Below are 13,322 nucleotides of genomic sequence, written 5' to 3'. Positions count from 1 at the left end.
AATTAGAGCCTACAAGACTTAGATGGCAAACTTTGCCCTATTTTAACCATCTTGAATATAAATTTTCAAATGCATTATCTAATCTCCTTCCTTTTAAAACAAGGGAAACCAAATGCTTTCAATTTTTCCAGGTGATTCAAGGATTCAAGGTCTTCATCAAAATTTAATTGTTATCCATGCCTTCAGGAGCCATTTCAATGTGAAGGATTATTAGCCCAAAACTGCTGTGCTCTGTGAGCACTTGTGGTTGTTTCTTTGTCATTGTTTTTTTTTTTTTTTTTTTGAGACGGAGTGTCACTCTGTCGCCAGGCTGGAGTGCAGTGGCTCGGCTCACTGCAACCTCCGCCTCCCAGGTTCAAGCGATTCTCCTGCTTCAGCCCCCCTGAGTAGCTGGGACTACAGGCGCCCGCCACCACGCCCAGCTTATTTTTGTATTTCTAGTAGAGACGGGGTTTCACCACGTTGGCCAGGATGGTCTGGCTCTCCCACCTCATGATCCACCTGTGTCGGCCTCCCAAAGTGCCAGGATTAAAGGCGTGAGCCACAGTGCCCGGCCTGTCGTTGTTTTTAATTCATCTGTCTTTCCTCCCGTCAGGCTCCCTCCCATCTCTTCACTGGTACCAAGTACCTGCCTTCAACTGGCTGTAGGATGGACGGCAGAAAACATAGCTTGTTCAAATTCTGTCTACAACAAAAGCAAATAAATTCTAAGTACATGCCTTCAGTTGCTCTCATAATAAAAAGTGTTTGTACAAATATTGATGACTCATCGGTCTTTTTACTAAATTACTGATTCCGCCCACCAGATATTTCCAAAGCAAGATACTAGTTGAGAAAAGTATTACTTTACTCATCAAAAATCTACTTTTGATATGCAAACTTCATAATTAAAGACAACAGGTAGAAAAAAGCAACATAGCCGCCAGGCGTGGTGGCTCACGTCTGTAATCCCAGCACTTTGGGTGGCTGAGGCGGGCCGATCACCTGAGGTCAGGAGCTCCAGACCAGCCTGGCCAAAATGGTGAAACCCCGTCTCTGTGAAAAATACAAGAATTAGCTGGGTGTGGTGGCGCATGCCTGTAGTCCCAGCTGTTCATGAGGCTGAGGCAGGAGAATTGCTTGAACCTGGGAGGTGGAGGCTGCAGTGAGCCAAGATTGTGCCACTGCACTCCAGCCTGAGTGACAGAGCGAGACTCTGTTGCCAAAAAAACAAAACAAAAAAACCACACCATAAAGTATTTTATTATTTTTTTGTATTATAAAGGTAATAAATATTCATTCTAAAAACTTTGGAAAATAGTTTCTACTCAACAAAAGAATAAATAACATAGATCTTTGTATCTAAATCTTCACACAAATCTTGATTATTTACCAAGGACTTCTTTCTGGAAATAAAATTTCTGAGTCCAAGGTTATGCACATTTTATAGACTATTCAAAATATTGCAAAATTGCCCTCCATTATAATTTTCTAGTTTTTTTTCCAATCAGAAGTATAAAATATAACTTCATTGTTTTCGTTTGCGTTTTCTTTTTGAAATAGAGTCTTGCTTTGTCACCTAGGCTGGACCTCCCAGGTTCAAGTGATTCTCCTGTCTCAGCCTCTCGAGTAGCTGGGATTACAGGTGCCCGCCACCATGCCCAGCTAATTTTTTTGTATTTTTATTAGAGATGGGGTTTCACCATGTTGGCCAGGCTGGTCTCAAACTTCTGACCTCAAGTGATTCACCCACCTCAGCCTCCCAAAGTGTTGGGATTACAGGTGTGAGCCACCGCGCCCAGCTTGCATTTTCTTTTTATTGTTTAATATATTTTCATGTGTATTTGCTTTTTGTATTAATTCTTCAAAAATGTCTTGTTTTATATCCTTTATCCATTGGCATTTTTGTCTTTTTATTATTTTCAGCAGATGAAACTATTAAACTTCATAGTGAAATTATCAACTCTTTGTCATTTCTGTTGGAAATATTTTCCCCATTTCATTTTGGTTTTGGTACTTTGTAAAGTCAAAAAGTTTTACATTTTCATGCAGTCAGCTCTATTAATATTTCCCGTTCAGGTTTCTTTCTTTTTTAATGGGCTTAGAAATGTTTTCCCACTCTGCTCTGAGAACAGATAAATACTTAAATGTATCTTCCTAGTTCCTTTACAGATTAGCAGTCATGTTTAACTATTTGTTATATTTGGAATTTATTTAGATGAATGGTTTAAGTTAGAAATCTAGCTTTTCTTTTTCCACAAATAGATATTGATAAATTATCAGCCAAGATTTTTAAATACAGTTTTCCTCTTTTTGCTACTTCACGTTTGTATTTTATTGTTTACACTTTTGGCCTTTATAAACTTCCTTAAATCCTTTTTGGAAGTAGATAGGGAATAGATAGAATATAATTAACAAACATTCTTCTGAGATTAGTTGTATTATTTTGCTGTGAAACATTCCAAAATCCTATATTGCATCCACATTTTTGTTGTCTTAGCAAAATTAAACCAGGTTACACTCCTAGAAGCAAGTCAAACTGAAGAAGACTAAAACTGGATGACTTTTTCTTTAGTCAGGGTCTTACTCTGTCACCCAGGATGGAGCGCAGTGGCATGATCATGGCTCACTGCAACCTCGACCTCCAGAGCTCAGGTTTTCCTCCCACCTCAGCCTCCCAGGTAGCTGGGGCTACAGGCACGAGCCACTACATCCAGCTAATTTTTTGTAGAGACAGTTTTGCCATGTTGCCCACGCTGGTCTCAAACTCCTGGGCTCAGGCAATCTGCCTGCCTTGGCCTCCCAAAGTGCTGGGATTACAGGCATGAACCACCGTGCCAGGCCAGATGACTTTCCTCTGTTGAAATGAGGACTGTATCCTCCATCTGGCCATAGGAAGGATCATCAGTTACAAAATTACATCACCTCCTCTTCCTCCAGCCACAGCTAGTTTTCTCTATATCTCACTCTTTGAAACCAACCAAAGGAAAGTGTCTAAGAGAGCAGGATGCAAGCAACTTCTTTGCATTAGGCTCAATGGCAAGCATTCTCTAGGGACTGAATGTGCCGGCTAGCTAACTCTCGACTCCCTTAAACATAAACCAATGAAGTTTCACAAAATTAACAAGAGTTAATTAGCGGAAGACACCTTAGGATGTCAGCCTCAGGGTGGCCAGATTTGTACATGTGACCAGCCCCCTTGGCCACAGCTGACTATCCAGAGGCAAACATCTGGTCCACACCAGGTCAATCTTTCCCAGAAATTTGCGATTGCAACAAAAGAGCTGGAGCTAAGAGAGCTAAGAACTCATATCAATCTGGGGTTGGACTGGCCATTTCTTTTATAAGATTCATGTTGAAGCAAAGCAAGCCAGTTCCCACAGCAAAGAAGAATGAATTCGGTAAGAAAGGAGGAGGAAAGACAGTAAACTATGCATTTAAATAGGAATAAGTAACCTGTGTTCCTCATTTTCTGATTTCTGGCTCCAGGCCCTCAAGGCCTGCTTATGCTTAAATTCTCTTAAAAACCCACATATCCATCCAGTGAATCCCCTTTGTCCTGAGCTAATCTAAGTGGACTTCTGTTCTTAGCATATGATGCTATCTGATTAAGGCAGCCTGATATCCGGATCATGCTTTTTAGTTTCCCAGGGGTAATCACTGACATTCTCTTTTTACCACCACCCTTTGAACTAGGTAGGTCAGGATTATTACCCTCACTCTATAAATGGAGAAAACTGTGACCTAGAAAGTTTTTAGCCACTAGTCCAAAGACACACACTAGGATATGACAAAGCCAAGACTGATTCTCAAAGTAACAAGCACTCTATTATAGAATACTGCTTTCTAGTAAATGTGGGGGACGCTGACTGCTTACAATAAATGCTTTCATTCACTTCACATTCTTCCAGTGTCAACGCTAAACTTGCCTAATCTGGCTCAGCTAGGTCCCATGTCCCAGCTCAAGACAAGCTAGGGATTCTTGTGTCTTAAACAGTCTATTTGACATTTAGGGAGCAAAATGCCAAACATTCTTCTGCTTTCCTTTCCCTAAGAAGCATTTTTTTCCTATCAGTTAAGTTGAAGACAACACTTATTTATGAAATATACTTGATGGGCTTTGCCCTAGGTCACGTGCTAGGGAGAACACACAAAAAAAAATATAATCCACCACTGTCATTCAATGAGCTTGTTATCTTATTGGAGATGTAGCTTCTATACGCATGAAACACACTGAACAAGTGTTATCACTGGTATTTGTAGACTTTAAGTAGGAATGCAATGAAGGGCACAGAATTGTTATCCAAGAGTTAAGTTGTACAATTGATTAGATGAAGTTAATAAGAATAGATTCCATATCAGCAAGACTTGACTCTAACCTGATAGAAGTAATAAAAAGGAAGTGTCAGTCAGTGCAGGTAGCCAGTCTGGGAAGCTCAGAAAAGAAGAAAGAGGAGGAGAAGGATAGGAGGAAGAGAAGAGGATGGAGAGGAGGAGAAGGGAAGAGAAAGGAAGAGGAGGCAGCTGCCACAGCCAACAAATGACAAAAGGCACCCATTTCCCAAACCATCTTGAAAACAAGGTCTCCTTCCCCTCCTAAAACCATGGGGATATGTAAAACCTGGGGGCAACTTATGTATAGAAGCCAGGAATGAAAGATTATCTAATAAACTGAGTACTTTTATGCAAGAGAGACAGGCCATTACCTGAGATTATTTATATAATAGGACTGGACCAAGCTTTCATGTAGATCAGACATTTAGGCAATCCCCCTCCCAATCCCCTCTCCCAATAACCAGCAAGTAGGGACTCAGGAGAAATAATATTGTTGCTACAAGCAAATTTTAAAATTTTATTTTAACTTCATATCCAAGTTGTACTATGAGCTAAATTTTGTGATTCTTTCATATAACAAATGACAACATTTCTAGCATAAAAATAAATTGTTGGTGGCCACTGTAAGCTAGAGTTGGCAAATAAGGAATTGTGGAAAAGTGAAATCTCAGATGGATTTAAAGGATGGTGTGATGTAAACAGGATAAGATTCGGGAAACGACGTAACAAAAGAGAAACAGCAGAAATAAATTCGTTATCCATAAGGAGCAGTGTGCAGCCTTGTCCAGAAAGGGTGGAAGTTGGGAGTTTAAATAAGAGATAAATCTTACCTGAAGATAAGAAGGTCCTTGAATGCAAGTGAGGAGATTTAAAAGCAATAAGGATCCACGGAGGGGACTAAAATATAAAAGATGGCATTTTAGGAACAGTATAATCGCAAGATGGCCTGGAAGTCTGGAGACAGACATGAGAGGGGGTGACTCTTGCCCAGAGTAGGACTAATGACAAGGAAAAGAAAAGAACACCTTCAAGAGAAATACTGAATGGAAAATTGTCAGATTCTAGCCATTCATAGGATCCAGGTATGAGGGATCCCGCAATGGTCACATCAAATGTCCCTTCTGTAAAGTCAAGAAGGAGCCCTGGGAGCCCCGTCTGCAAGTACACCAGGCCTCCCTCTGTGCTCATATAAAAATGTGTTCATGCCACAAAAACATCCTTACCAAATTATGATACACTTATCTTAAAATTATTTTCCCTTTGCCTCTTCCAGCATTGCCTTTAATCCTATAAACCCTGGTATAAAAACATGACTCATCAGTGAATTCAGGTATTAGACCTCCCTGCTGACATGCATGACTTCTCTTAGGAATTCTCCATTTGCTCCAAAATACCCCTGATAAGGATAATTCTTTATCTAGGGCTCAGGGGCCAGTCTCTGGCTATAAAGATATATGCTAAGTGCTGATCAGCAGGTTATGTCTGAAGACAGCAGTCACCCAGGAGCCATGGCACTGTACCCAGGCATGTTCTGTTCCATAATCTTTCAGGCCCAAAGCCCAAATCCCCATCTCCCCTGACAGAGTGAACCTGAGGAGAGCCACTGAACCAAAGTCTGAATTGTCAGGGAGAGTGGTGTGGTCCTCGTGGCCTGGATATGTCTTCCGCTCCTGCCATTTGAGGCATGATCTCCTGCACACCAGGAGTGGAATTTCTTCATCTTCATCTATGTGCTGTGAATGCATGTCCCTATTACAACTAGATTTCATAACAAAAGAACATTTGATCTTTTCTTGAGTGACTGAATTTTTTTTTCTTTAGTGTCTTCTGCTGAGGTGGGTAGAATTCTGAAATGCAACTGTCAGAGTCTGTCCTCGTTAAGTCAGATCCTCCCCTATGCTAGGGATCCACCCCAGGCTGCTGGAGTAGTGGAAAACGAATAGCCATGGAGGATTTCCTTTCTCTGACTCCCTTCAGTTGCGTCTCTTTCAGTTAATTCCCTGCTCTTCCCTGATCTCTGGCCCTTGCCAACTAAGATTATTTAGAAGGTCTGACCTACTGTTCCACAGTTAGATTTTCTACAATGGTATCTGGAAGTATAATGTGTCTCCAAAACCACAGCAATTCTTGTGCTCACGTGTTGCTAAAAGCTACCATGCTTTAGCTACTGCTGTCTGCACCATCATTTTATTATCTGACAAAGGTTACAGCCTTTCCATACTCTTGTACAGTGTAGTAGAGTGGTTAGGTGTGCACTCACCGAAACCTGACTGTCTGAGGTTAAATTCGGTTCTGTGACCTTGGGCAGGTTACTTAAATCTCCTCTGTAAATGTGGAAATAAAAATAGCACGTACTTCTCAGGGTTAGTGTGAGGATTACATTAATTTATACATGAAATGGCACTTAGAATAATGCCTAGCATTCAGGAAGTACTTAATAAGTATGAGCTACTATTATTATTACTATTTCAGTTAAGTGTGAGGAAGTCAACACGTATAGACAACAACCCATGGTCTTAAGGCTGACAGCCTGAGCCTTCAGGCATTCCCATGGAGAAACAGAACTTTTAGCAATCTCTGGAATATGATCCAGTGTTAGATCTCCAAGGCTCACTAACAGAAACACCTCCTTCTCCATACAGCAGACTACTCTGATAGAGACTGAGTTTGGCCATTGATGATGACATCTCTTGGATGGGACTGAAAAGACCCTGCCGTCCCTTAATACAGGGCTTTTACGGTCCTGGAAGTATAGGTGTAGGCATGTTTGAATCAGGGGGCAAGTATCCCTCAAAAGAACTCCTCATCTTAGAATCACTAAAGGCAACTTCCTTCAAAAGAGTGAATGACCATCCCCATTTCCAGGTAAAATGAACTCCACTAACCACTGAACTAGTGTGGCCAGTCTTCAGTAAGGCATTGAATGGCAGTGGGAAGGCAGTGAGAAGTAACAGCAGGGGGATGCTCATCAGAACTTGGTCCTCTCCCACTTGAGGTGGGGTGGGTTGCAGACTGGTCCCCACTCCTGCTATGGTGAGGTGGATATTTTGAGCCCCCAATTAATAAAGCAGGAAGCAGTTCAAGTAATTACATGGAAAAAAAGATACAACCATATTCATACTCCAAGTTCATTGTGGTTACATCCACTTATGGCACTCAACATGTTTGCAATGTTTCTATAGTATATTCAGGAATATACTTGCATAATCTCTCCTGTGCAGGAATGGACTCTTACAGATTATCAACACTGAAGCTGGGGCTGCATTTATGCACCTCTGGTTTGCAACACAGCTTGGGCGTGCACAGCTGCAGATACTGTGGCACGTGGAGACAAAGGGATGCTCTGGACACTTCCACTGCCACAACCTTCCCTTATTTTACAAATAAGGAATTTTGTTGGAAATTCTGAGTTTGCAATGACAAGCATAGCAACTGATGCTATATTCTTATGAAACCTCTCTTAGGACTCTCTAAGGATTCCAACTCTGAGAACTAAAAAGGGCAGCATTTGCTTCTCCACCTCCTTCCTACTCTACCCCAAGCATCTATTTCTTACCAACCTAGAAACATTTCTGCCGCATTCTCCCAGAGGGACCATAAATTAGAGACCACAGGTAACCCCCAAGGCCCAGAGAGCTTCAGGGGCATCATATCTTCACTCGAGTATACCAAAGTCCTAACCATTGCACCTCATGTGCATAATTTTAGCAGATTACATTTTATGTCTGTACTATGTGGCATAATACTCTAACACTTGTGTTGATAATAGGTTCCTTTTTGGAATTAGCTAGAGCAGAGTGATACACACACAGAGAAACTCTAGAATGAGATCCCAAAATGTAACACCTTGATCTGGGGTTTAAAATGAATTGTTTTAAATAGTTTCACAAATTATTGCTGGAAATCATACTGTTTTGAAATTTGTTCTTGAATGACTACAAGGAAATTGTCAGACCAAAGAAAACTTTAGCTATCCCATTGTGTTGGGCAAAATAATGCACCACCTTGGCCCACAAGATGTCCATGACCTAACCCCTGGAACCTGCGACTATGTTATCTTACATGGCAAAAGGATCTTTGCACATATAACTAAAGTTAGAGACCTCGAGACGGAGAAATTATCTAGGATTATCCAGGTGGGAGAACAATGCCCAGCTGTGGTCACAGGAAGATATGACTACAGAAAAATGTTCAGTCTGGGTGCGGTGGCTCATGCCTGTAATCCCAGCACTTTGGGAGGCCGAAGTGGGCGGATCACTTGAGGTCAGGAGTTCAAGACCAGCCTGGCCAATATGGTGAAACCCTGTTTCTACTAAAAATACAAAAATTAGCTGGGCATTCTGGTTAGCATCTGTAATCCCAGCTGCTCAGGAGGCTGAGGCAGGAGAATCGCTTGAACCCGGGAGGCAGAGGTTTCAGTGAGCTGAGATCGTGCCACTGTACCCCAGCCTGGGTGATAGAGTGAGACTCAGTCTCAAAAGAAAAATAAAAGAAAAAGAAAAATGTTCAAACAGATGCAGCATTGCTGGCTTTGAAGACTGAAGAAGGAATCACAAGCCAAGGAATATGGGTGGCCTCTAGAAGCTGGGAAAAAAAGGAAATTAATTTTTCCCTAGGCCTCCAGAATGATGTAGCCCTGCCTATATGTTAGTTTTAGCCCAGTAGGACCTGTGTCAGACTTCGGGCCTTCAGAACCGTAAGATAATACATTTGTCTTGTTTTAAGCCACTATATTTATAGTAATATGTTACCACAACAATAAAAACAACTAATGCACCCATGAAAAAGGTGGTAGAACTCTGAGGTTGCTAATGCACCCACATGCTTGTTTAAAAGGAAGGCTAGACTACGTTGGCACTGACATACTTGCCTTTGTGTTCAGTCTCTCTCTCTCCCTCCTACATGCCCCATCTGGACTTCCAGCATTCACAATGAATGAATGTTAATTCAGCATTCACAAGCAGGTGTGTTGCTCAACATCAAGTGTGATTCAATTCAAATCACCAGAGATGTGAAGCATTTGCATCGTGCTCCAAAATCCCTCTGAGGACTCGGTTGATAAAAATCTGGTTACTTCTGGCTAAGTGATATTTGAGTTTGAGTGCCCCAGTAAATAGGCACCCATTTTTTCCCATTCAAGTTTGGAACCAGTGGAGAGATACAGATAGAAATGTCAGCTTCATCGTTGATAGAAATGGACTGCAAATATGGCTTGAGCTCTCAGTCAAAAGGTGTTGCTAAAGACTGCCAGCTTTCTACTCCCATAGAACTCGGGGGCCTACCCACCAAGAAAAAACTTGATCCACAGATTAGAAACCCTTACCCAGGACTGATGTCTCACACTGGCTTGGGACAGAGAAGGGAGAAAGACAGACAAAGCTCCAGTAATTGATCTTTTAAAATAAATTAGTTACAGCCAATTGAGAAAAGTGGATAAAAATAAATCAATCTCATTTGAAATGAGATCTCCTGATTTTCAGAATTTCCTTTTAATTCCTGTCATTTTGATTTGGGTCTATACCACCAATGAGGGAAATGTTTTTAAAACTTTTAATAAACACATAAAATGTCATGGTTAGTGATTGCCTGGGGCCGACACATAGTCAGTAAAGGAATTTACCAAGACAGTAACGAGTCTGGAAAGGCAGATCTATTTAAAGAAAAGGGGAGATACACTGCCAGTGAGCAATGGGCAATACAGCAGAGGGAAGGCTGTCTGCTGTCTGCAAAGAGGCAGGGACTGCAAGGGAGTTTTTTAGGTTGTGCTACTTGGGCTGAATGTTTGCAGACAGGATGCTTGGTGCAGGTGGGCTGTGATTTGGATGCTTGTAACAGGATGCTTGGGTGCTAGTGAGCCATTTGCAGTTGACCCTATTTCTCAGAACATTTGTTCCTCTCTACCCCCTATTTCTGTTTCTGCCAGCTAAGCCCATTTTTCAGTTTTCTTTCAACTCCTTAGGGCTCCACAAATTGCACATATTTATGGGGTACAACGTGATGTTTCAATACATGTATACATTATATAATGAACAAATTAGGGTCATTAGCATGTTCACCACCTCAAAAATTTATCATTTCTTTGTGGTGGGAACATTCGAGATCCTCTCTTCTGGCTAAATTGAGATATACAATGTCTTGCTGTTTACTATAGCTACTCCACTGTGCAACAGGACACCAAAAATCATCCTTCCTTCCTAGTTGTAACTTTCTTGACTAACCTCTCCCAATCTCTACCTGCCCCCTGTCCTCCCCAGTCTCTGGTAACCACTGGTTTATTGCCTACTTTTAAGATATCAAGTTGTTTTTTTTTTTTTTTTGGATTCCACGTATGAATGAGATTATGTGGTATTTGTCTTTCTGTGCCTGGATTATTTCACTTAACATAATATCCTCTAGATTCATCCATGTCACAAATGACAGCATTTCCTTCTTTTTACGGCTGCATAGTATTTCATTGTGTATATATACCACATTTTCTTTAACCATTCATTCACTGTTGGACATTTAAGTTGATTCCATACCTTGGCTATTGTGAATAGTGCTACAATAAACACGTGAGTGAGGATGTCTCTGTGATATACTGATTTCATTTCCTCTGAATATATAATCAGTAATGGGATTGCTGGATCATATTGTAGTTCTATTTTTTAAATTTTGAGGAACTCCATACTATTTTCCACAAACACTGAACTAATTTACATTCCCACTAATAGCAATAAGGGTTCCCTTTTCTCCACATCCTCAGGAACACTTGTGTCTTTTGTCTTTGTGATAATAATCATTTTAAGTGGAATGAGGTGATATAGTGGTTTTGATTTGTATTTCTCTGATGATTAGTGATGTTAAGCATTTTTTCATACACCTGGGTTGGTATTTATGTTTTCTATTGAGAAATGTCCATTAAGGCCTTTTGCCCATTTTTAAATCAAATTATTTGTTTTGGGTTTCTTTGCTATTGAGTTGTTTGAATTCCTTATATATTCTAAATATTTCCGTGTCCAGCTGTCTAGTTTGCAAATATTTTCTCCCATTCTTCAGGTTATCTCTTTACTCTTGTTTCCTTCGATGTACGTAAGCTTTGTAGTTTAATATAATCCCATTTGTCTATTTTTGCTTTTATTGTCTGTGCTTTTGAGGTCATATTTTAAAAATCCTTACCCAGTCCAACGTCATGAAGCATTTTCTCTGTTTTCTTCTATCAGTTTCTTATTTTCAAGTCTTACATTTAAGTCTTTACTTCATTTTTAGTGGATTTTGTACACGGTGAGAGATAGGGGTCCAGTTTTATTCTTCTGCATATAGATATCCAATTTTCCCAGCACAGTTTATTGAAGACACTGTCCTTTCCCCAGTGTGTATTCTTGGCACCCTTGTGAAAATCAGTTGGCTGTAGGTATGTGGACTTATTTCTGGACTCTCTAATCTGTGCCACTGATCTATGTGTATTTTTTCACCAATGTCATGCTGTTTTAGTTACTATCACTTTGTCATATATTTTGAAGTCAGGTAGTGTGATGCCTCCAGTTTTGTTTTTTGTGTGTTTGTTTGTTTTTAATCAAGATTGCTTTGGGTGTTCAGAGTCTTTTTGTGATTCTATACAAGTTTTAGGATTTCTTTTTTTCTGTGAAGAATGTCACTGGAATTTTAACAGGGATTGTATTAAATCTGTATATCACTTTGGATAGTAAGGACATTTTAACAATATGAATTTTTCCAATCCATGAACACCTCTTTTTGCACCCTCTTTATTTCATTACTGTTTTGATTTATTTATTTATTGAGACAGTCTCGCACTGTCACCTAGGCTGGAGTGCAATGGCACAACCTCAGCTCACTGCAACTCCCACCTCCCGGGTTCGAGTGATTCTCCTGCCTCAGCCTCCCAAGTAGCTGGGATTACGATTGCCCACCACCACACCCAGCTAATTTTTTGTATTTTTAGTAGAGATGGAGTTTCACTATGTTGGCCAGGCTAGTTTTTGAATTCCTGACCTCGTGATCCACCTGCCTCAGCCTCCCAAAGTGCTGGGATTACAGGCGTGAGCCACCATGCCCGGCCATTAATGCTTTATAATTTTTAATGCAAAGATCTTTTACCTTCTTGGTTAAATTTATTCCTGAATATCTTACTTTTTTGTAGCTCTTGTAAATATAGCTATTGTAAATTCAAATGATTTCATTAAATTTTTTATCTGTGTTCTTCTGTATCTCACAAGTTTCCCTAAGATCACTACTTTGAATTCTTTTTCTGGCATTTTGTAAGTTTCCTTTTCTTTGGAGTTTGTTACTCAAGAATTATATTCCTTTGAAGGTGTCATGTTTCTTTGCTTTCTAAAGTTTCTTGTGTATCTACTTTGTTTTGTTTTTTGCTTGCTTGTTTGAGATGGAATCTGGTTCTGTCACCCAGGCTGGAGTGCAGTGGTGTGATCTCAGCTCACTGCAACCTCCACCTCTCAGGTTCAAGCAATTCTCCTGCCTCACCTCCCAAGTAGCTGGGATTACAGGTGAGTGCCACCACACCTGGCTGATTTTTGTATTTTTCGTAGAGACAGAGTTTCACCATGTTGGCCAGGCTTGTCTTAAACTCCTGACTTCAAGTTACCTGCCCACCCCAGCCTCCCAAAGTGCTGGGATTACAGACATGAGCCACCACACCCAGCCTTGTGTATCTACTTTGATATCTGTGCATCTGCTGAATTCGTTTTTGCTTCCAATTTTACAGAGTAGCTTTTATAAGGAAAGACTTTTCCCTAAAGATGTGTCCTAGGGTGTCAGTTGAGTAGTGTGAATTCACATTGGTTCTGGGTGGACACAGTAGTTGGGTCTACACACAGTTTCATCAGCTGTAATCCATGTAGTAATATCTGTGAGTGCTTCAATAGCCTAGGCTGCAGGAGTTTAGGGCAGTAGTGGTGCACCTTTGCCAGAGAAAGGGCCACCAGGCTGGTTCTTAAGCTGGAGGTACATGCACAACTGTGCAGGACCTGTTCCTTGCAGGGAAGGGTGCC

General features: G+C 40.7%; 1 protein-coding gene across 12 annotated transcripts in view; it reads right to left on the bottom strand.

Moving 5' to 3' along the window:
* The window catches only part of ADAMTSL3 (ADAMTS like 3), a 385,720-nt gene that overhangs the window by 220,296 nt on the left and 152,102 nt on the right, over positions 1 to 13,322 (bottom strand). The window lies entirely within an intron of this gene.

The sequence above is a fragment of the Homo sapiens genome, chromosome 15, assembly GCF_000001405.40.
Source record: "Homo sapiens chromosome 15, GRCh38.p14 Primary Assembly".
Taxonomy (NCBI): Eukaryota; Metazoa; Chordata; class Mammalia; order Primates; family Hominidae; genus Homo; species Homo sapiens.
This window is presented reverse-complemented; position numbering and strand designations above follow the sequence as displayed.